General features: G+C 51.8%; 2 protein-coding genes across 9 annotated transcripts in view, besides 3 other annotated features; one reads left to right on the forward strand and one right to left on the reverse strand.

Moving 5' to 3' along the window:
* The first annotated feature begins 4,679 nt into the window (after positions 1-4,679).
* On the forward strand, positions 4,680-18,181 carry MAP1LC3A (microtubule associated protein 1 light chain 3 alpha). Of its 6 annotated transcripts, XM_011529084.3 has the most exons (8): positions 4,680-4,752; positions 7,741-7,865; positions 13,508-13,630; positions 16,574-16,744; positions 17,044-17,099; positions 17,183-17,289; positions 17,572-17,741; positions 18,008-18,181. In XM_011529084.3, exons 2-7 carry the CDS (start codon positions 7,814-7,816, stop codon positions 17,732-17,734), a joined length of 672 nt encoding a protein of 223 aa, XP_011527386.1. In that variant the 5' UTR covers positions 4,680-4,752; positions 7,741-7,813; the 3' UTR covers positions 17,735-17,741; positions 18,008-18,181. The 6 variants fall into 6 exon arrangements, with proteins under 6 accessions (XP_011527386.1, XP_011527387.1, NP_852610.1 ...); XM_011529085.3 differs by lacking the exon at positions 13,508-13,630 and having other exon boundaries at positions 17,572-18,181; NM_181509.3 differs by lacking the exons at positions 13,508-13,630; positions 16,574-16,744 and having other exon boundaries at positions 17,572-18,181.
* Positions 16,256-16,345: a silencer, noted in NCBI's record as "silent region_12838". NCBI's record gives its function as "represses an Ori minimal core promoter by ATAC-STARR-seq in GM12878 lymphoblastoid cells {active_cell/tissue: GM12878}" and the evidence as "EXISTENCE:reporter gene assay evidence [ECO:0000049][PMID:35858748]".
* Positions 16,686-16,735: a silencer, noted in NCBI's record as "silent region_12839". NCBI's record gives its function as "represses an Ori minimal core promoter by ATAC-STARR-seq in GM12878 lymphoblastoid cells {active_cell/tissue: GM12878}" and the evidence as "EXISTENCE:reporter gene assay evidence [ECO:0000049][PMID:35858748]".
* Positions 18,310-18,359: a silencer, noted in NCBI's record as "silent region_12840". NCBI's record gives its function as "represses an Ori minimal core promoter by ATAC-STARR-seq in GM12878 lymphoblastoid cells {active_cell/tissue: GM12878}" and the evidence as "EXISTENCE:reporter gene assay evidence [ECO:0000049][PMID:35858748]".
* The window catches only part of PIGU (phosphatidylinositol glycan anchor biosynthesis class U), a 116,551-nt gene continuing 112,075 nt past the window's right edge, over positions 18,378-22,853 (reverse strand). For all 3 annotated transcript variants that reach the window (XM_017027664.2, NM_080476.5, XM_011528542.2), the window contains one exon: positions 18,378-18,815. In XM_017027664.2, the coding sequence (XP_016883153.1) occupies positions 18,702-18,815 (114 nt within the window). In that variant the 3' untranslated portion in view covers positions 18,378-18,701. The remainder of the gene's footprint in view (positions 18,816-22,853) is intronic.

A 22,853-nucleotide genomic window follows, 5' to 3' on the forward strand; every position in this document is an offset into this window, starting at 1 on the left:
AAGTCTGAGGCTCCTCCGTCCTTCTGCTTGAATTTCTCCAAGAAGGATAATGGGGAAGGAGGTCGGAGGAGGAGAGGTCAGGTTTCTAGGACGGCGATCGGGGGTCTGTCCCTGGAGGGAGGAGGCGTTCTGGCTCCAAAGCAAGGGTTCAGAATAGGGCTGAGGGCCTGTCCCTTCCACCTTCCCTTAGTCCCCCTAGTACTGCCTCTTGTTTGCCTTAAAGTTCCCCATCCTAAAAGCATTCCATCAAAGTCTTGGGGAAAGTTTCTTATGAAAATAAAGATGCTCCACTTCCCAGTCCCTTGAGCACCAGGATTTTGTACATCAGGAGCCCACCATGTACATCAGGAGTTTGTAATGCAGCAAGGCAAGCATAATTCCTTGGACTCAAGATGTAAAAATCTGGCTGGGTGCGGTGGCTCCTGCCTGTAATCCCAGCACTTTGGGAGGTCAGGGCAGGATTGCTTGAGCCCAGGAGTTCAAGAACAGCCTGTTGCGACATGGCAAAACCTTGTCTCCACCAAAAATATGAAAATTAGCTGGGCGTGGTGGCACGCACCTGTAGTCCCAGCTGCTGGGGAAGCTGAGGTGGGAGGATTGCTTGAGGTTGATGCTGCAGCGAGCTATGCGTCCACCACTGCACTCCAGCCTGGGTGACAAAGTGAGACCTTGTCTCAAAAAAGATGTAAAAATTCATGGCCACAGAGAAGGTTTACAGCGGGGGAAAAAGAGGTTAAAATTAAGTTTTGTTTTTTGTTTTTTTTTTGAGACAGAGTCTCTCTCTGTCACTCAGGCTGGAGTGCAGTGGCGCGATTTTGGCTCACTGCAACCGCCACCTCCCAGGTTCAAGTGATTCTCCTGCGTCAGCCTCCCAAGTAGCTGGGACTATAAGCGCCCACCACCATGCCTGAGCTAGTTTTTGTATTTTTTTGTAGAGATGGGGTTTCACCATGTTGGCCAGGCTGGTCTCAAACTCCTGGCCTCAGGTGATCCGCCTGCCTTGGCCTCCCAAAGTGCTGGGATTACAGGCGTGAGCCACCATGCTTGGCCAAAATTCAGATTTTTAAGAATCTAAATAATGGTATTCCACATACAAAAACCCTAGTGTTTCTGTACTCAAAAGTAGCGTGTATACTGTCAAGGTTAGAAACTGACAGCTGTCCTAGGCCTAGAGGGAAAAGCATGGGTTCTGAGTTTCAGAAGGACATTTGCCAATATAGCAAAGGTGTGCCCACACCCAGTATTTTTTTATGAAAAATTTCAAACCTACAGAGAATTGAAATAATTGTATATCTTCCATCTCAATTCTACAGTTACCCATTTTGCTATATTTCTGTATCACATAACTTTCCATTCTTCCATCTAACTTATTTTTTATGGCTTTCTAAGTATATTGCAGGCAGTACCCACCCCAAGCACTGCCAAGTGTGTATCATTAACTAGTTTGTTTACTGCTTTTGGAGGATGGGTAAGATTTACATAGAGTAAAATGCACAGATCTTCAAAGTGACAAATGTGACCCCTGTGTAACCTCACAGCCGTTTCAGGAAAGCTGCTGCTGCTTCCCAGTCGGCCCAGCCCACTCCCCAGAGGCCACCCTGTTCTGATTTCCTCCAAGTATGATTTCTGCCCTCTAAGGTACAGCTCTCACCTGGGCTCCGTGAGCAGGGCCGGCGTTTCAGGGAAGTGGCAGCTTCTCGGGAGGTGCCGCAGCTGCCATCTCCCGTCAGCACTCATGCCTCCGCCTCAGCCCTGGCCACGGCTCCCTGGAATTCTGATCCTCCTCTGTGAGCTGGTATTGCTGTTTCTCCAAAAATTAAAAATGCTCAAAGGATTATAGGTTTTCTCCTCTTTCGTATGTTTGGCTCTGAGACACTGCATGTTGGCACGTTTTTCATTGAGAATCCTGAAAGCCACCTTTCCATACCAAATTCCCATCTGTCTCTACCAAATTACCAGAAAAAGAAAAAATGAGAAATGGAGGTCTCAGATTCCGTCATCACAGCAGGTAGAAATCAAAGTCACTGAATCCATCAAATTAGTAAGCATACCCCACTGTCAGTGAACTTCAGCTGATCAGTTATGTATTGAGAAGGCAAATAACACAATTGCAGAACATGTTCAAAATACTAGTCCTACTGCTATGGTGAACAAGCTCAATCCAATCAAAAGCACCTTTATTTTGGTCTCTCACTGTCTAAATTTACTCTCTAGGGCTTGTTCTCCCGCTGTCCCTAGGTGAGATGTAGAGCAAGCCCTGCCCTGGGCAGATGAAGTCCCCGCCCAACACAGGAACTACTCCTTCCAGCCGCGTTTGGAGAGAGGCCGCCCCTTCCACTGTGGGCCCGCGGGGAACCTCGCTCTCTGCAGGGGGAGAGCAGCTTATGTTTGGCCTCGGCCTTATTTTATTTGCCCACTTGGTGCTGTCAGCTCTCTTTCCCAAGTTGCTGAGAGGGGCATGAGGTGGGGAGCAGAAATTCATCGTTCGCCGATACTGCTGTGAACTGGCTTCGGCCGTGGTGCATTTTCATGCGCTTTGACACGCATGCCCCCTGCCCTCTTCTGTTGGTAGCTCCCTCACTTTGAAGGGTGCGCTCCTTCTGGCCGGCCCTATCTTTGGCTCCTGGCTGTCGGGGTCTCCCCTCTACACACTCTCTTCTGTTGAGTCGTGGTGAAGCAGAAACCCCACCGCCTTCCTCCATGGGTTACGATAAGATTCATAGCCTCTCGGTGGCCTCTAAAAATCTTCCTCGAACTTCCAGCTCCTTTATAGACCACATTCCCAGCAGAAGTGTGAGCTCGCTTGGGACCACCTGGTGTCACAGTCCAGGCTGCTGCTGGTCCTGCTCCTCTACGTGGCAATCGGCCCAGAGAATATGCCTTGGGGGGTCTCAGCAGAAACTAAGATGAAGGTAATTCAACTTCAACTCCCTAGTTCACAAGAAATACGTTAGCTGTTTTCCCTAAAAAAGGCTAGGTGAAATAGGGAATTTCATGATTTTTTGTGGGGGGCAGGGGGGGTACACAATCTCCCTCTTTTCACCCAGGCTGGAGTGCAGTGAGTGGCCTGATCTCAGCTCACTGCAACCTCTGCCTCCCAGGTTCAAGCAATTCTGCCTCAGCCTCCCAAGGAGCTGGGATTGCAGGTGTGCGCCACCACACCTGGGTAATTTTTCTGTATTTTTAGTAGAGACAGGGTTTCACCATGTTGCTAAAGCTGGGATCCAACTCCTGGGCTCAAGCAATTCTCCCACCTCAGCCTCCCAAACTGCTGGGATTACAGGTGCAAGCCACCACGCCTGGCATATTTGATTTTTAAATACTACAAGTATTTGGGTAAAAATTAAATTTAAAAAGTTTGCAATAACCTAACAACAGGCTATAATATGATAAGCCAGGGGCTTCCCAGCCCTTTTCTAATGAAGTAACTGAAGAATGAGGAGCGTTATCTAGAAGTCAGGGCGAATCTGCCAGAGTCAACCAAAGACAGCCCCCTGCAAACATGAACCTGCTCTCTAGAAATGTACACAGGTTTGCGTCCCGGTGGCTCCGGGGAGAATGTGGAGCCGAGTGGAGTCAGGAGCGCAGGCAGCCAGGGGAGAACTGATGGTGGCTTGGGCAAGGGCGGTTTCATGGGGTCGGAAGGGGGGATTCTGAAGGGAGAACGCCAGGACTTGCTGGGGAGGGTTGGAAAGTAAGGAAATGAGACATCAAAGGAGACTCCTCCATGCCTGCTTGGGCAACCAGGTGCTGCCATTTACTGAGAGGAGGCTGACTGGGGACCTTTGTGGGGAAAGAGCACCAGCAATTTGGAAATGGCTTAATCTGAGCCTGTGAGATACCCATGTGTTTAGAAAGAATGTCGGATGGACTGTTGAATACCCAACTCTGCCAGGCCTTGCTAGACATAAGGATATGGAGCTATCAGCCTGTTACTGGTATTTAAAGCCAAGAAGGTTAGGTGCAGTGGCTCATGCCTGTAATCCCAGCACTTTGAGAGGCCAAGGCGGGAGATTCTCTTGAGCCCAGGAGTTCGAGACCAGCCTGGGTAACGTGGTGAAACCCCATTTCTACTAAAAATACAAAAGACAGCCGGGTGCGATGGTGAGTACCTGTAGTCCCAGCTACTTGGGAGGCTGAGATGAGAGGATTGCTTGAGCCTGGCAGGTCAAGGCTGCATTGCGCCACTGCACTCCAGCCTGGCCAACAGAGTGAGACCGTGTCTCCAAAAAAAAAGGTTGTGGAGGCTGGGCATGGTGGCTCACGCCTGTAATCCCAGCATTTTGGGAGGCCGAGGCGGGCAGATCACCTGAGGTCAGGAGTTCGAGATCAGCCTGACCAACATGGAGAAACCCCATGTCTACTAAAAATACAAAAGTAGCCAGGCGTGGTGCACATGCCTGTAATCCCAACTACTCGGGAAGCTGAGGCAGGAGAATCGCTTGAACCTGGGAGATGGAGGTTGCTGTGAGTCAAGATCGTGCCATTGCACTCCAGCCTGGGCAACAAGAGCGAAACTCCGTCTCAAAACAAAACAAAAAAAGCTTCTGGAGCCCCAGTTATCACGTTCAAGTTCCAGATGGCAGCTGATGGAGGATGGGGATGGCAAAGGATGTACCTTTTCCCTTTAAGGCAATTTCCCAGGAGTCCCATAGGGCACTTCCTACTTAGGCCTAATTAACTGAAGTTCAGCCACCTGCCACTCCTGACTGCATGGAAGCCAGGTGCAAGGAGAAAGGATTTTGAGGAGGGGTGAGTCACCAGAACACATTTGTTTGCTGCGGAGAGATCGTAAGGGGCCTCGGAGCAAGTCCATGGGGCGTGAGGAGGGCTGGCGTCCTGCGCACAGTGGAAGGACTGGCCTTAGGAACAGGGACAGTGATTCCACTCAGCATAGCCAGGGAGCGGCCCAGATGGCAGGGCAAGGTCTCTGTGGAGTGAGGGCAGCAGGGAAGGTGCCTCGCAGGAGAGGAGAGAAAACATACACTTCCCTGGGGACGCGGGCGGGGAGTTTGACGGGTTCGGCAGGTGGCCCTTTTGCAGCATCTTTTTCAGCCGGGGGTGCAGCAGTCACCATACAGCTGAACTCGGCCAGGTTAAGGCGGCAGAAGAAAGAGGGAGTTGGGACTTTTGGAAGTAATTATGATGGCTGTGGAGTCTGTGCTGGGTGAGGAAGGGAAGTGACTGGATAGAGGGTGGCAGTGGAATTTTTTTTTTAATTAAAATTTTTTTCTTCCCCAACCGCTCCCCACCTTTTTTTTTTTTTTTTTTTTTTAAATAGAGACAGGGTCTGGTTATGTTGCTGATATGGTCTGGCTCTGCCCCACCCAAAATCTCATCTTGAATTATAATCCCCATAATCCCCAGGTGTCAAGGGAGAGCCCAGGTGGAGGTGATTGAATCATGGGGGCGGTTCCCCCATGCTCTTCCCGTGATAGTTCTCACAAGAGCTGATGGTTTGGTAGGTCCTCCTGCGTTCATTCTCTCTCCTGTCGCCTAGCGAAGAAGGTGCCTGCTTCCCCGTCACCTTCCTCCAGGATTGTGAGTTTCCTGAGGCCTCCCCAGCCATGCAGAACTGTGCCTCAGTTAAACCTCTTTTCTTTGTAAATTACTCAGGCTCGGGCAGTTCTTCACAGCAGTGTGAGAATGGACAAATAGTTTCCCAGGCTGGTCTTGAGCTCCTGCGGCCTCCCTAAACGCTGGGATTGCAGGTGTGAGCCACCGCACCTGGCCAGAATGAAACTTTGGAAGGGGCTGATTGTTCAGATAGGCGGGGGTCAGTGTGCTCGGCCTTGCTTCTGCAGGGGAGGCACACTGGTGAGGTGCCCTCTAGGGCAGACGAGGGAGGGGGGTTCCCGGAGCAGTGACGGTGGAGACAGGTGGGACGACACAGATGGGCTTGAGAGGACTCAGGACTGCAATGGCAGGTGAGGGGGAGTCCACCTGGGCCTGGACCAGGTGATGGGATGAGAAGGGAGGGGGCGATTAGCTAGAGGCACAGGCTTGGGGAAAGAGATGACTTCCTTTGGACGTGTTGAGTTCGGAGGCAGCCTTTGTTCCAGAGACAGAGCCTGGACCTGACAGCTGGAAGCCAAACTGGAGGTGGGGATTGTACGTCACTCATAGTGGAGGCACTGGTGGGTGTGGAGAGAACCCAGGACCCCATGAGTGGCTGGAGGCTGCGAAGGCCGCGGGGAGCCAACCTCCCCAGGTGACCAGACCGCTCCAAGGGCTTGAGGTCACGGAGGGAGAAGGGTGGCAGCCCCGGCCCTCTCACTCAGGGAGGTGGAGTTAGAGCTGGAGAGGCCTGAGCACGCCCCTGGCTCAAGAGGAGGACAGATATGCGGGTGAGGCCCGGAGGAAGGGAATGGCCAGGTCTGAGGCCCTGCATGGGCTGTGGGGTTGGTGTTCTCAGCCTCCACTTTTCCAGTGAAAGCAGAGGATCTGTGGGGAGCAAGGTGGGGCAGTGTGAGCTCGAGGCCGGAGGACCCCTGAGTGGGTCTCAGTCCCTACAATCTTTGGAGTGTTCCCCTTCGCTGCCTTTTTTTTTTTTTTTTAAAGATGGAGTCTTGCTCTTGTCTCCCAGGCTGGAGTGCAATGGCACAATCTCGACTCACTAAAACCTCCGCCTCCCGGGTTCAAGCAATTCTCCTGCCTCAGTCTCCCGAGTAGCTGAGACTACAGGCGCCCGCCACCATGCCCAGCTAATTTTTGTGTTTTTAGTAGATACAGGGTTTCACCATGTTGGCCAAGCTGGTCTTGAACTCCTGACCTCAGGTGATCCACCCACCTCGGCCTCCCGAAGTGCTGGGATTACAGGTGTGAGCCACCATGCCCGGCCCCACTTTGCTTTTTTGGTTGTGGTTTTTTGGTTTTGTTTTTGTTTTGATAGTCTCTATCACCCAGGCTAGAGGGCAGTGGTGCAATCTTGGCTCACTGCAACCTCCGCCTCCCGGGTTCAAGTGATTCTTCTGCCTCAGCTTCCCAAGTAGCTGGGATTGCAGGCATGCACCATCATGCCTGGCTAATTTTTGTATTTTTAGTAGAGAAGGGGTTTCGCCGTGTTGGCCAGGCTGGTCTAGAACTCTTGACCTCAGGTGATCAGACCACCTTGGCCTCCCAAAGTGCTGGGATTACAGGCACGAGCCACCATGGTCAGCCTTCACTTTGAGTCTGTAAACGGGAACTGCCAATCCTTCCTCGGAGATAATGACCCTGACTCAGACTTCAGCCCACGTGTCCTCCCGATATGAGGCCCATTTTTACGAGTTCATCACCTTAAACGAGGCGCCAAGTCACAGCGGTGTTGATGCAGGGCAGGTTCTTTGCCTGGCTCAGGAAGGAATTCAAGAACCAGCCGGTGGTAGAAGAAAACAGCTTGATTGATGGGGTGGCACGTTACGGCTGTGACTGGCCCCGCCATGGGCAGTGTGCTGAGAGTAGCAGCCCAGGGACAGATCTGAATCCGTGCTTATTCCCATTTTTAATGACATCCTAATTCAGGGGGCGGGTTATTCAGAAATAGCTAGAAAATGGGCGGTAACTTTTGAGTGTTGCCATGGCCAGAGGTGGTAACTTCCAGGTGTTGCCATGGCAATGGTAAACTGCCATGGCACTGGTGGGCGTGTCTTAGGGAGAGGTGATTTCAGCACTTCTGGTTCAGCCAGTCTTCAATCTCGTCCAGAGTCAGTCCCTCCTGCCTCCTGCCTCCGTGCTGATTGCAGGCCCTGTTTCCCCCAGGACTCCATGGCTTCCGAGTTGCTGACTGACCCTCCACCTCAGAGGTAGTTCTGACACTGTCTCAGTTTTGCAGATGAAGATGAGATTCTTCAGTTCTCCATGTGGAAAAGCAGCTGTGGACCCAGGTCTGTCTGGCCCGCCTGCCGTTGTGTGAAGGAGCTCAGGGCCTATGGTCTGTCCACACTCGCGGTCATCAGTGGCCAAGCAGGCCAGGGTTGCTCCGCCCGTGTGCCAGGCCGGCCAAGGCCAGTTCTCCACTTTTTCTCAGGCCCATGGGTCCAAGTCCGAAGCCACAGAACGGCAGGAATGAGGGGTGGGAGCAGAGCAGTCGAGGGTGCGCTTGACCGTGGCTGAGACCCCCTGAGCAGAAACGACTCCCCCAACCTCTGCTGATCCTCCTAGCACCCAGCAGCAGTGCTTGGCACAGACTCTGTCCCTGCGCATGGTCTAGAGGGGGAGATAGACCTTCTAGATGGCAAACGGCATGGAGAGATGACTGTGGGGGCCTGGGGGAGGGGTCACTTATCCAAATAATAATTACTGAGCACCCACCATGTGCCACACTCTAAGTCCTGGGGTGTAGCAGGAACCAAGCATATGCAGAACTGCCCTTCAAGGGCTTGCACTTTAGTGAGAAGGAAATAAAATTTTATAATATTAAATGTAAAACCACAGTGAGATACCACTACACACCCGCCAAAATGGCGAAACGAAAATGAACACCACCAAACGGTGGCAAGGAGGCAGCGCACCTGGAACTCCCGCACATCGCTGATGGGAGCACAAAATGGAACAGCACTGAAGAGAGGCCTGGCCACTCCTCAAACACACACCTGCCCCCAAAGCCAGCATATCTCCTATTCGTCCAAGTGAAACAAAAGAACATATCCCTTAAAGTATAATTAAAAATATATATATATCCACACAAACACTGTCACAGAAACGTTCAGAGCAGTTTTATTCACAATCACCAAAAGCTGGAAACAGCCCAGGCATCCATCAATGGAAAAACTGCTACATCCATCCATGGGAACCTACTTGATAGTTTAAAGAAATGGCCTACTTGGGCACGGTGGCTCATGCTTGTAATCTCAGCACTTTAGGAGGCTGAAACCGGTAGATCAGGAGGTCAGGAGTTTGAGACCAGCCTGGGCAATATAGTGAAACCCTGTCTCTACTAAAAATACAAAAAAAAAAATTAGCCAGGCCTGGTGGCATGCTCCCGTAATCCCAGCTACTCAGGAGACCAAGGCAGGAGAATCACTTGAACCCAGAAGGTGGAGGTTGCAGTGAGCCAAGATCTTGCCACTGCACTTCAGCCTGGGTGACAGACTCTGTCTCAAAAAAAAAAAAAGCCTACTGATACCTGCAACAACATGGGTAAGCCTCAAAACTTCATGTTGAATTAAACCAGAGGCACAAGAATACATGCCGTATGATTCCATCTAGAAGAATTTCTAGACCAGGCCAGAATATGGTGAGAAATGAGAATAATGATTGCCTCCATGGGGCGTGCAGGTAGACTGGTGAGGCCCAAGGAACCTTCCAAGGGGAACGCTGTCCTTTTTTTTTTTTTTTTTTTTTTGAGTCTTGCTGTGTTGCCCACAGTCAGGCTGGAGTGCAGTGGCACGATTTCGGCTCACTGCAACCTCTGCCTCCTGGGTTCAAGTGATTCTCCGATTCAGGAGGTAGCTGGGATTACAGGTGCCTGCCATCACGCCTGGCTAATTTTTTCTATCTTTAGTAGAGATGGGGTTTCACCATGTTGGCCAGGCTGGTCTTGAACTCTTGACTTCAGGTGATCTGCCCTTGGCCTCCCGAAGTGCTGGGATTACAGGCGTGAGCCACCGCGCCTGGCCATGTTCTCTATCTTGAAAGGGGTTTGGGTCACATTAGTGAGTGTACTTCTCAGACTCACCAAAGAGTACACTTGACACCTCTGCATTTCATTGTTTGTGAATTTTACCCTGAAAGAAAAAAAACCAAATACTGACATGAATGTGAAAGACTGAGGAGAAAGTGAACAGATGTCTGCAACTTACTCTGAAATTCAACAAAAAGGGAAAATGGACAGAGACGTAATAAAGCAGATGAAGCCAACTGCTTTTGAGATGGAATCTCAAAATCTCTGTCACCCAGGCTAGAGTGCAGTGTGCGATCTCGGCTCACTGCAATCTCCACCTTCCAGGTTGAAGCGATTCTCCTGCCTCAGCCTCCCCAGTGGCTGGGATTACAGGCGAGTACTGCCACACCCAGCTAATTTTTGTATTTTTAGTAGAGACGGGGTTTCGCCAGGTTGGCCACGCTGGTCTCAAATTCCTGACCTCAGGTGATCCACCTGCCTTGGCCTTTGAAAAGTGCTTGGGTTACAGGCGTGAGCCTCTGGACCTGGCAGAGCCAACTGTTAATGGCAGAATGTAACTGGGTGTAAGAGGGACCACTACCATTATTTCAAGTGTGTTTGAACGCTTTCATAATGAAATGCCCAGAAAAATTATACAGCATATTGGAAGGCCTCCCTGAGGAGACACTTGAACCAAAACTCGAGGTGAGGGTGTGAGGGACACAGAGATCCCGGGGAAGGATGTTCCAGGCAAAGGCCCTGGGGCATGAGCCTGACAGGGATTCCTAGAGTAGCCAGGAGGCCAGAGGAGTAGCGGGGAGGCAGATCCCACGGCCTCCTGGGCCACCATCCATCAGCCCTTGGCTCTTACTCTAAGAGGGGTATGTGGGGACAGGACAGCTGTGGTCACTGTCCTGAGAGCGGACTGAAGGAGGCAAGGCCAGGGCAGGAAAACCAGCAAGGAGACAATAGCAGCAGTTCTGCAAGATGTGGTCGGGGCTCTGGCCCTGGTGGCAGTGGCGGCCGTGGTGTGCCATGGTCAGATTCTGGAGAATCTTGAAGGTGGAACAGACAGGATTTGAGGATGGACTGGGTGTGGAGCAGGAGTGGTGGAAGGGGGTGGTAAAGGAAAGGAAGGAGTCAAGAATGACTCTGAGGAGGCCGGGCACAATGGCTCACACCTATAATCCCAGCACTTTGGAAGCCCAAGGCAGGTGGATCGCCTGAGGCCAGGAGTTCGAGACCAGCCTGGCCAACATGGTGAAACCCCGTCTCTACCAAAAATACAAAAATTAGCTGGGCATGGTGACGGGTGCCTGTAATCCCAGCCACTCGGGAGGCTGAGGCAGGAGAATCGCTTGAAGGTGGGTGGCGGAGGTTGCGGTACGCCAATATTGTGCCGTTGCACTCCCTACCTAGGTGACGAGCGAAATTGCATCTCAAAAATGAAAAATAAATAAATGAAAAAGGTTTTTGGCCTGAAAAGGGGAGACAAAAGATTCCAACTGGAGCACATTTTAGGGGAAGATCATGGGTTTGTTGTGCACAGGTCAAGTTTGAGATGTCTGTCAGACATTCAAGCAGACACATGAAGTAGAGGTCAGGCCACTGGATTCAGGGGTGATGGGGCAGGGGAGGGACTGAAGGGCGAGTCAGCCCTGCTGACTGTCAGGCAGGGGCAGAGCTCACAGCTTGGGACTTGGGGCCCTCCTCCTCCACGTTGGCCTCAGTTCAGGGCTGAGTCTGACAAAAGACAGGTGTAATCACTTTCCAAGGCTGACCCAGTTCTTTGGCTGCTCTCAGTGGGCCTGGTCACATTTAATCTTCTGTGGCACTGTGTGTGTGAGGTTTGTCCAGTTTGACACACAGCTCTGGATCAAAAGTCGGCAAACTAAGGCCCTCAGTTAAGTCTGTTTGTTTTGGCAAATAAAGTTTTATCCAGATCCAGCCAATCTCATTTAGGCTGTCTAAGGCCACTACAGCAGAACCAGGTGGCTGCCAGAGACCACATGGCCTGCAAAGCCTAAAATATTTACTGTCTGGCCCTTTAAGGGAAACATTTGCCGACTCCTCTCCATCTTTCATTAAACAGGGTGTGGTTCTGTTATAGGAACACACAGCAAGCTATTGAATAAGACATTTAGGTGGTTCCCAACTTTTTGCTATTATGAAAATGTTACAATAAACATTCTTACCCTTGTTTCCCTGGGCTCCTGGGCACACACAGTGGAATTCCTGGTGTGTAGGAAAGACATGGGCATCTTCAGTTTGGGTCAATTTTGCCAAATTGCTCTCCAGTGTAGCTGAGGTCAGTTACACTCCCAGCAGCAGTGGAAAGAGCCCATCTTTCCACGTTCCTCTAAACTTATTACCTATCAGGTGTCCTCAGCCTTCAGTAGTTACCAGTCTTTCACTGTGTGTAGATTCTCTTGGATTTCCTGGCTGTGAGTGACAGGTTTGCTCTTTTTTTGTCTTGGTGCTCTGGACCCCTGTACAATACTGAATTGTCTTTACTAGCCATTTGTTCCTGGCTTTTAAGAGAATATTTCATGTTTTACCACATAGTATAGTGTTTTACCTTTAAGTACATGTTTACTATACGTTGGGTTTTTTTTTTTTTTTTTTTTTTTTTTTTTTTTTTTTTTTAGACAAACTCTCGCTCTGTCACCAGGCTGGAGTGCGGTGGCGCGATCTCGGTTCACTGCAACCTCCGCCTCCCAGGTTCAAGTGATTCTCCTGCCTCAGCCTCCCAAGTAGCTGGGACTACAGGCATGCACCACCACGCCCAGCTAATTTTTGTATTTTTAGTAGAGACGGGGTTTCACCATGTTGGCCAGGATGGTCTCAATCTCTTAACCTCATGATCCGCCTGCCTTGGCCGCCCAAAGTGCTGGGATTACAGGCATGAGACACCGCGCCCGGCCTGTTTTTGTTTTTTGAGATGGGGTCTCTCGCTCTGTCGCCAGGCTGGAGTGTAGTGACACAATCTTGGCTCACTACAACCTCCACCTCCCTGGTTCAAGCAATTCTCATGCCTCAGCCTCCCACGTAGCTGGACTACAGACACGTGCCACCATACCCAGCTAATTTTTTTGTATTTTGTAATTTTTGTATTTTGTATTTTTTGTATTTTTTTTTTTTGTAGAGATGGGGTTTCACCATATTGCCCAGGCTGGTCTACAACTCCTGGACTCAAGTGATCTGCCTGCCTTGGCCTCCCCAAGTGCTGTGATTACAGGTGTGGGCCACCACACCTGGCCTATTTTTTGTTGTTGTTGTTTTTTGTTTGTTTTCAGCATTTTTTGTTGTTTTTCTGAGAAAGGGCCTCTGTCACTCAAACGATCCTTCCTGAGTAGTTGGGACTATAGGTGTGTGCCACCAAAGCCAGCGAATTTTCTTATTTTTTTTTTTTTTTGAGACAGAGTCTCACTCTTGTCACGCAGGCTGGAGTGCAGTGGCATGATCTTGGCTCACTGAAACCTCTGCCTCCCGGATTCAAGCAATTCTTGTGCCTCAGCCTCCCAAGTAGCTGAGATTACAGAATGCACCACCACACCCAGCTAACTTCTGTATTTTTAGTAGAGACAGGGTTTTGCCATGTTGGCCAGGCTGGTCTCGAACTCCTGGCCTCAAGTGATCTGCCCACCTCAGCCTCCCAAAGTGTTGGGATTACAGGCGTGAGCCACTGTGCCTGGCCTAATTTTCTCATTTTTGTAGAGACGGGGTCTCACTATGTGGCCCAGGCTGGTCTCAAACTTCTGGGCTCAAATGATTTTCCAACCTGGGCCTCCCAAAGTGCTAGGATTACACTATTACTCCTTCTTAAATTTCTTTGAAACTCTGCTCATGGATTTTCTGTATTTATTATCTAAGTAATACATCTATGTAATAAGGCTATAAATCTGATTTTTTTTTTTTTTAAAGAAATGGATCTTATTTTGTCACCGAGGCTGGAATGCAGAGCTGCAATCACAGCTCACTGCAGCCTTGAACTCTTGGGCTCAAGCAATTCTCCAGTCTGGGCCCCCCAAAGTGCTGGGATTACAGGTATGAACCACCACACCTGGCCTGCCATGGCCCCCCTCCCAAGTTTTCTTTCTTTTTTTTTTTTTTTTGATGGAGTCTCGCTCTGTCGCCCAGGCTGGAGTGCAGTGGCGCGATCTCCATTTACTGCAAGCTCCGCCTCCCAGGTTCGAGCCATTCTCCTGCCTCAGCCTCCCGAGTAGCTGGAACTACAGGCGCCCGCCACCACGCCCAGCTAATTTTTTGTATTTTTAGTAGAGACGGGGTTTCACCATGTTAGCCAGGATGGTCTCGATCTCCTGACCTCGTGATCCGCCTGCCTTGGCCTCCCAAAGTGCTGGGATTACAGGCGTGAGCCACTGCGCCCGGCCACCAAGTTTTCTTAGCATATGTATCCTCATTTTTTGTTTGAACTAAATAATTTTTATTTATATATGACTTCATATTTAGAATAGGTTTAAATTTCCACACAGCTGGAGCTTACGCGGCTTTTGTCTGTGGCCAAAGAATATGGTTGAAACTGATTTGATATCTGTTGAGATTTGTCGTGCACCCTAGTAGTTGGGTCATTTTTGTAAATGTTCCTTGTGTGATTGAAAATAATGTGTTGGTCTCACACAGGTCTGAAATTTAAATTTTAAAAGTTAAAAAACTAACTGTCAGGTTTTCTATTGGGGTTCATTGATCTTGATTAGTAACTGTATTAACATCCTCTATGTCCTTTTTTTTTTGGTTGTTTGGTTTATTAGTTACTCAAAGAGGTCTTATGTCTCCCTATGATGGAGGACCTGGCAATTTCTCCTTGTGTTCTTAATATATTTTCAGCCTCTTTTTTTTTTTTTTCGAGACAGAGTCTCACTCTGTTGCCCAGGCTGGAGGGCAGTGGCGCAATCTCAGCTCACTGCAACCTCCGCCTAGCAGGTTCAAGCAATTCTTGTGCCTCAGCCACCTGAGTAGTTGGGATGACAGGCGTGCACCACCACGCCCAGCTAGCTAATCTTTGTATTTTTAGTAGAGACAGAGTTTTGCCATGTTGGCCAGGCTGGTCTTGAATTCCCAGCCTCTAGTGATCCACCCACCTCGGCCTCCCAAAGTGCTGGGATTACTGGCATGAGCCACTGCGCCTGGCCTATTTTCAGCCTTAAAAACAAAAACCCTGGAACATAGAAGTTCAGAACTTTCCTCTCTTCACAGAGTTCCTCCTCGCATCATTTCATGTTGATCCTCTTATCCCCAGTGTCTTCTGCCTGAAGGCCTATTTTGTCTGAGTTTTCTATAGGTACATCTTTTGGTTAGTTTTTCTCTAGTACACCTTTTCCCATCGTTTTACTTTTTGGTGCCCTTAGGTTTTAAATTTCCTCTTGTAAATAGCATAGAGCTGCATCTTATTTTTTCTTGGCCAATCTGGTCATCTGTGTTTTAAGAGGTGAATGTAAACCACATTTTCTACCTCTGGTTTTGTACTATATATTTACCATCCCTTTTACTTTGCTTCCTTTTTCTCCCTTTCTGCCTTCCATTATAGTTTTAATACCCATCACTACCCTTTTCTCTGCATTGGCAGTTATAGTTCCGTTTGTATTCTTTTGGTGATCCTCTTAAATATCTGAAATACACACCTGACTTTACAAAGCCAGACAATGCTCAGTCTCTTTAACCCCCTCTCAAATTGCCCTCTCAGTCTTCCATGTTCTTGTGTCTCATGCATCTTGTTTCTGTGGCCCACAAATTAATCATTATTATTCATATTGCATATTAAATGCTTGTTTAGATTCACATGTTTACCAATTTGCTCACCATTTTTCCATCTAATTTCTTCCTTTTGGGTTCCATGTCCTTGTTACTAAACTACATTCTTTAAAAATTATTTCGGCGGCCAGGCGTGGTGGCTCACACCTGTAATCCCAGCACTTTGGGAGGCCGAGGCGAGTGGATCACGAGGTCAGGAGATCGAGACCATCCTGGCCAACATGGTGAAACTCCATCTCTACTAAAAATACAATAATTAGCTGGGGGTGGTGGCAGGCGCCTGTAATCCCAGCTACTGAGGAGGCTGACTGAGGCAGGAGAATCGCTTGAACCCGGGAGGCAGAGGTTGCAGTGAGCTGAGATCGCACCACTGCACCCCAGCCTGGCGACAGAACGAGACTTCGTCCCCCTCCCCCCTCCCCCAAAAAAATGTTGATCTTCAGTCTGCGCATTCTGCTCTGGATTTTAAGCATCATTTCTGGCAGCTCTTTTTCAGGAACTGTCTCTGCAGGTCTTTCAGTGTTCGCCTCTGGAGCTCTGCTCGGGCCCGCGAGTTCTCCTGGCGTTGCCATCTGTGCCCTTTTCCTTATTCCCCATCACCTGTCTCTCTGGTGAGCTGCTTCCGATCAGCCTCCAGGTCCACGATTTCTCTTCTGTTGTCCTTTTCTGCCTTCTCACCTCATCCTCTGAGACCTGAATTTCGATGGCTCTACTTTTCAATTATATTATTCTTTTTCAAACCTGGGCGTTCATTTCTAGCATCCTGTTCTATCCTGTGTCTGACTGTGCCTCCCGCACCTTCTCCCTTCTCTCGCCCTAAGCCCCGTGAAGGCGCCGGGCCTTTGGCTCCGGCTGTTTCCCACGGCGCCCAGAACCGCGTCAGTCCTGACACAGACTCGGTGAGGGCGGGAAGTGGTGCCGTGGGGCTGCAGCCTGGCCCGCCCGCTCCATCGGCCTAGGGCGGCCCCACCGCCCTCCGGGCCTTACCTTGAGTTCGGGCTGCGGGAGAAGCTCCCGCGCTGCCCATGACGTCACGGGACTGTGACGCGCCCAGAAGCCCCGCCCCTCGCGTCCCGGTCCGCGGACCCAGGCTCTCTGCGCCGTGACGTCACGGGTCCGGGCGGGCGGGTTGTGCGTCGGCCCAATGGGAGCGGCGCACTGGCCTCCCCTTTAAGGAATGTTGTGACCTGACGTCACCGGGCGAGTTACCTCCCGCAGCCGCAGCCGCCGTGCTCAGCGCGAGCCCCGGAGCCCTTGAGCGCGAGGCGCGGAGCCCCCGGAGCCCCCAAACCGCAGACACATCCCCGCGCCCCAGAGCCCCGGCCTGCGCGCCCAGCCGGGCCCGCGCGATGCCCTCAGACCGGCCTTTCAAGCAGCGGCGGAGCTTCGGTGAGGCCCGGCAGGCGAGCTGCGAGCTCTGGGGCAGGGGTGCCGGCCGACCCCGACTGCCGCAGGTGACGTCAGCCCCGTGACGTCAGGCTCTGGCTGGACCCTCGGGCTGGGACCAGCTCCGGCCTGGGCGGGGGCTGCCCGCTTCCCCACCGCGATAGGTGCCAGGGGCTGTGGGGCCTGATGGCCCCGGGGGTGGGGGCTGGAGCTGGGGCGTGGCCGGGGGCCGCCCCTCCGGGACAGGCGGGGCGGACCTGGGCCGGCCCGACCCGGCCTCACGGTCTGGCCGCTGTCCGCAGCCGACCGCTGTAAGGAGGTACAGCAGATCCGCGACCAGCACCCCAGCAAAATCCCGGTGAGTCCCGCACCCCCAGCCCTGCCCCGCCCCCGCCTCGCGCGTTCCCGACACGACCCCCTGCCCGCCCGCCCTGCTCCCAGGTGATCATCGAGCGCTACAAGGGTGAGAAGCAGCTGCCCGTCCTGGACAAGACCAAGTTTTTGGTCCCGGACCATGTCAACATGAGCGAGTTGGTCAAGATCATCCGGTGCGTGGGCAGCCGCCGCCAGGAGGTGGCTAGGGTCGGGAGGGGAGCCGGGTTCCCGCCGAGAAGGGGTGGGAGTGGGGTCAGGGGTGATGGGACCGGGCGGTGGGCCCCTGTTCTGGGGTGGCTGGAAAGGTCAAGGTCGGGGCTGCAGTCGGTGTTGGGTCAGAGGTGACAGCTGGGGTGAGAATGGGTGTGAAAGGCTGGGAATCATTCTGGGGGTCAGGGCTATGTCCGTCCCGCAGCCAAGCCCCTCACAGCTGCATACTCTCCCGCCGGCTGCAGGCGCCGCCTGCAGCTGAACCCCACGCAGGCCTTCTTCCTGCTGGTGAACCAGCACAGCATGGTGAGTGTGTCCACGCCCATCGCGGACATCTACGAGCAGGAGAAAGACGAGGACGGCTTCCTCTATATGGTCTACGCCTCCCAGGAAACCTTCGGCTTCTGAGCCAGCAGTAGGGGGGCTCGGCCTGGGAGTCGGGCGGCCCCGGTCAGGCCCTGCCCAGAGAGCTCCTGGTTCCTGAACTGAGCTGCCTCTACCGTGGTGGGCTGGGCAGGCATGTGCCCCCCTAGTCAGAGGGCACCAACCCACCTACTCTGCCCCTGGGTGGATCCTGGGCCGGTCGTGTTAGGGTTGTCCCTCTGGGTGCTGGCTGGTGGGATGGGGGAGGGTGGGGAGCAGCTCCCAGCACCCCTGCTGTGTGGTTCATCTTTTTTTTAGGCCCCTGCCTGTCTGCCCATCTGCCCCTCACCCACCCGAGGCTCTGCCCACCGCCTGGACCTGCCCACCCCTGAAAGACTGGCCCCTGGCTCCCCGCCCCTCGGTCTCCACGTGGTGTATGGATCTGTGGTCATTGTCCCTCTGCAGAATAAAGATTGCTCAGGCCTGCCTGGCCCTGTGCCTCCAGCCGCTTGCTTGGGAGTGGGGAGGGTGCTGGTGGGGCTGCCCGCACCATCCCCGGGCTCTGGCGCACAGACTTGTGTTCTGTGGCCGCGGTGCTCGCTCTGGAAACCCACACCTGTGTGTAGTGTTCCAGAACATTATTAGGGGCCACCCCCTCTAGGAGTGCAATGCAGATGTGGTCTCAGGGTAGACTTCATAACAAAAAACATTTATTAAGTAGCCACAATCTAACAAGCCCTGCTCACCTGCCTCTTCTCCTTCCTGTCTGGGAGGGGGCTCCTTGGTGTGCAGAGCCACAAGGTGGGGGTCCAAGTTGGGGAGCTCCCAGTTCTTCCCCATAGGCCTTGCTGTCAGTCAGCCATGGGTCCCTTTTGGTACCAGAGACTTGTGACCCTGGACTCGAACCTCTTCTGCCCAAGCACTCGCCTGCTGGCAACTCTGGCTGGAGGGCTTGGCCCAGCTTCTGGCCCCACAGCCCCCTGAGGTCCATGCAGCCCTGTGCCAGCCAGGCCTACTTGAGCACGAGCATGGCCTCTGTGCCATCCTTGGCGGTCAAGTAGAGGCCATGTGTGAGGTAGTACTCCCGCCGCAGGAAGGCATAGAAGTAATCAGAGATGAGCAGGATCTGGGGGGAGAGAGAGGGTGTGAGGCGCTGCTGGGTACCTCCCCCTAAACCCAGGATCCCTGAACTGCTGGCAGGTGTTGTTGGAAGACAGGAACGCCCCTGCCTGGCTCTGGATCACAATCACTGGAGAGGCCCTCCTCAGGGCCCCCACCTCAGGGCCCATAATTGACCCTGCAAGGTCTGGCCTCTCAGAAGCTGCCTGGACTCCCCCTGCCCCCACCCATGGTCTACACCTCCATCCCAGGCTCTGGCCTCGAATGCCAGCCTGGTGCCTGTGCAACCAGAGGCCTCTGCCCCATCCTCCCACAGCCACTTCCATCCCAGCCAGGTCCACATCAAACTCCTCACCTTCCCTCTGTCAAATACACTTCTCCCACTCAGCATCCATGCCCCCATCTTCCAGCCAGGTGCCCAGGCCACAAAATTGCCCTGACACTTCTCTCATACATCGAGCCACCATGACCTGTCAATTCCCCCTAAACTCAAATCCACCCTTTGGATCCATCCCCACAGTCACTACTCTGGACAGAGCCACTGTCATCTCATCTCCTAAACAACAGCAAAGCTTGGTCCTTGGGCTCCCTGCTCTCAAACCCGTGCCCACCCCATTCTCCCTGGCAGCCAGAGGGAGCTTTTCAAAACCCACATCTGATGGTGTTACTTCCAGCCTTCAAATCCTCCAAAGGCTTCCCAAGCCTTAGGGCAAAGCTCGAACTCCCTCGTGCTCTGAGACCTTGCTAGGGTCCCTGTCCGCCCTCTCCCGGCTCCACCTCACCCCACGGCAGGATCTTTACTGTTTCTTCTGCCTGGAATGTTCTCTCCCCGTTCATCTAGTTGACAGCTGCTTACTCTTCAGGGCTCAGGAAGGATCACTTGCCCCCCAGATTAGTTCTTGGCCCCACTAATCTCTACTCGATAACAGACTCATCGAAAGTGTAATTTTCCATTCAGCTGACAGCCTGACTGTGCCTCCTCCCCTGGCCCGGGGCCTCCATCAGGGCAGGGTCTTCGAATGGTTCTGTCACTATGGTATTTCTGTGCCCAGCTCAGTCTGTCTGTCCCATTCTGGGCCACACACAGAAGAATCAAAGGGAGCCTAGAAGCTCAGCCCACTGTCTCTTCAAGGAGGCCCAGAAAGGAATAGGGATTTGCCAAGGGCCCTATACACCAGACCCGGAGTCTGCAATCCCAGTCAGCCCAAGCTTCCCAAGACCACTGGTCCCTGGAGCAGGTTGGGCAGGGCCCAGCCTCAGAGAAGGATGAGGGGACAGGGGCTCACACTACAGACACCGCAGCTCTCAGGCACCTGGAGGCCTCAGAGGATTGGCACCAACCACCTGGCACAGATGGGGAGACTGAGGCACAGAGCACTTGGCTATGGTCTTGGGGCAAGACAGGTTGAGCTAAGCCTGGGATCTAGACCTCCAGACCCTGTCCTGGGCAGCTTCTCACTGACCTGAAGGTAACACAACAGCAGCTAAGGAGAGATCAGAGGCGCCTGGAGGAGTTCAGGAAGGTGTCCTGTCACCAGCAGCTCTGATGGCCTCAGGACAAGTACCTGCCATTCTATCACCACAGAAGCCCATCTGGAAGGTTGAACAATCCTCATCTTAAACAGATGGGGAAACTGAGACTCAAAGGGTTCAATGGTTGGCCTAAGGCTACACCTGGAGCACTGGACTAATGGCCATGGACCCAGAAAGGTGGTCTGCCTGGGGCCCAGATCACTGATGAGCACGAGATTGGTCACAGCGTCAGCAAAGCAGACAGAGCTCAGGCAGCCCCCGAGGCCCTGCCCCCAGCTGCCCAGCTGGCAGCTCCAGGCTGGCCCACTGGGGGGCAGTGATCACAGCAAAGGCTGACCTCATACCCTGCAGCCCTTTCTCACCCAGGCCCGAGATGCCATCTGGGCAGGAGGAGCCCAAAGCAGGGGCTGAGCTCAGAGGCTGATCCCTGAACCAGGTCAGCTGAGGGGCAGGTGCAGTCACAATCCACAACAATCAAAACGAAGCAACTCCATGTCACACAATAATCATCTGGACAAGAAGCAGGAAGAAAAAGATTAGGTTATTAGGTTGGACCATATGAAATTGCCAGTTTTGCAGATAAAAAAATGGTTGAATACTGGCAATTTCATATGATCCAACCTAATATAAAACGGAAAAACGTACACATGGAAAAGTAAGCATGTTATTTAGAAGTACCAACAGAAATAACAGTAAGACTTTAGGTAGCTATTCTTTTCCCCTATAAGCCTTAACTTTGCAAACTACATACATGTATTCCATTGATAAAAATAAAACTTCGGCGAGGTGCGGTGGCTCATGCCTGTAATCCCAGCACTTTGGGAGGCCGAAGCAGGCGGATCACCTGAGGTTGGGAGTTCGAGACCAGCCTGACCAACATGGAGAAACCCCGTCTCTACTAAAAATACAAAATTAGCCGGGCATGGTGGCGCATGCCTGTAATCCCAGCTACTTGGGAGGCTGAAGGCAGGAGAATGGTTTGAACCTGGGAGGCGGAGATGCGCCATTGCACTCCAGCCTAGGCAACAAGAGCGAAACTGCGTCTCAAAAAGTAATAATAAAAAATAAAGCTTCAATTAAAACAAATCAGCCAATAAATCAATGAATCAATACATCAATGGGGGGGGGGAGATAAATCTTCCTTCCAGAAGAATTCCAAACAATGTAGGTAGTTATATCCCCCTCCCATAGAAGGAGCTTAATTCTTGTCCACTCTGCATCTCCTAAGCCTAGGGGGGTCTAGACTTGGTTACTCACTTCCTCCTGAGGAGCAGGGAAAGGGAAAAGAGTAACTTTACAGTGGAGAGACCTGGCCAACACTATCTTAACCACGTGGTGGAGGTTAACATCAGCTTGAAATCACGTGGCTAGCATGTAACCCCAATAGATGTGATGAGAAGGGCACTTTGCCTGGGGTATTCTTTCTAAAAACCCACAACCCCAGGATAGTCCTAAGAAAAGCATCAGACAAACCTAAACTGGGGGACAAACCTAAATTGGGTGACATTCTACAAGATACCTGGCCAGCGCTCCTCAACTGTCAAGGTCATGAGAAGTCAGAAAAGACTAAGAAGAAAAGCAGAAGACACTGGGGAGATGTGACCTTACATGTAATGTGGACCTCTCGATGGGGTCCTGGTAGAGAAAGAGGCTGTGACTGGAACAACAGGAAATCCAAATCCATTCTAGTGTTTCAGACTAATAGTAACGTATCAGGGTGAGTGTCTTAGTTTTGACAAACACATCACGGTAAAATATAAGATGTTAACAACTTAGGCAACTAGGTGGGGGCTTACAGGAACTCTGTTCTATCTCTGCAACTTTTCTATAAATCTAAAGTGATTCTAAAATAAAAAGTTTATTTAAAAAATAAATGAACTAGCTGGGAATGGTGGCTTGTGCCTGTAATTCCAGCTACTCGGGAAGCCGAGGCAAGGGGATCCCTTAAGCCCAGGAGGTCGACCTGGGCAACAGAGCAAAACTCCAGCTCTTGAAACAGGAAAAAAATTAACAGCAATGACCTATTGTTGTATGTAACAAACTCAAAATATTTTGCTGAGTGAAAGAGAGCTTTGGCAAATGTACACAAAAGATTTGCACTTTTCCCTGTATAATAAATTTTACATAAGAAAATGATACACATGCTGAAATATTTAGCAGGAAATGTACTGATGTCTGCATTTCAATTTGAAATACACTAAAAAAGTAAGATGGACTGAGGGATGATGGAAGAAGTACCTGAAGATGTGAATGGTGGACTCCCGCTGGTGGGTATGTATATGGGTGTCCAATGCTAAAGCTGTCAACTCTGCTGTGTGTGTGGAAATCTGGAGGATAAAGGGGGTGGCGGGAAGAGCCCTGTGAGCGGCTTGGGCACACAGCCCTGGGTGTCATCAGTCCTGAGTGAGCACCCTGCCCCCAGGGAGAGGACACCAGGCTGGCCGAGAGGCCTGGCCCTTTCAGAGGGAAGCCTGTAGCCAGGACAACCTCTTCTGACCTTGGGGCTTTCCAT

Source organism: Homo sapiens, chromosome 20 (assembly GCF_000001405.40).
Source record: "Homo sapiens chromosome 20, GRCh38.p14 Primary Assembly".
Classification (NCBI taxonomy): domain Eukaryota; kingdom Metazoa; phylum Chordata; class Mammalia; order Primates; family Hominidae; genus Homo; species Homo sapiens.

Coding starts and splice junctions, on each gene's coding strand:
- MAP1LC3A (XM_011529084.3), top strand. CDS start 7,814: ATGAAGATGAGATTCTTCAGTTCTCCATGTGGAAAAGCAGCTGTGGAC. Junction 17,100..17,182: donor AGCACCCCAGCAAAATCCCG/GTGAGTCCCGCA, acceptor CCCTGCTCCCAG/GTGATCATCGAGCGCTACAA. Junction 17,290..17,571: donor GAGTTGGTCAAGATCATCCG/GTGCGTGGGCAG, acceptor CGCCGGCTGCAG/GCGCCGCCTGCAGCTGAACC.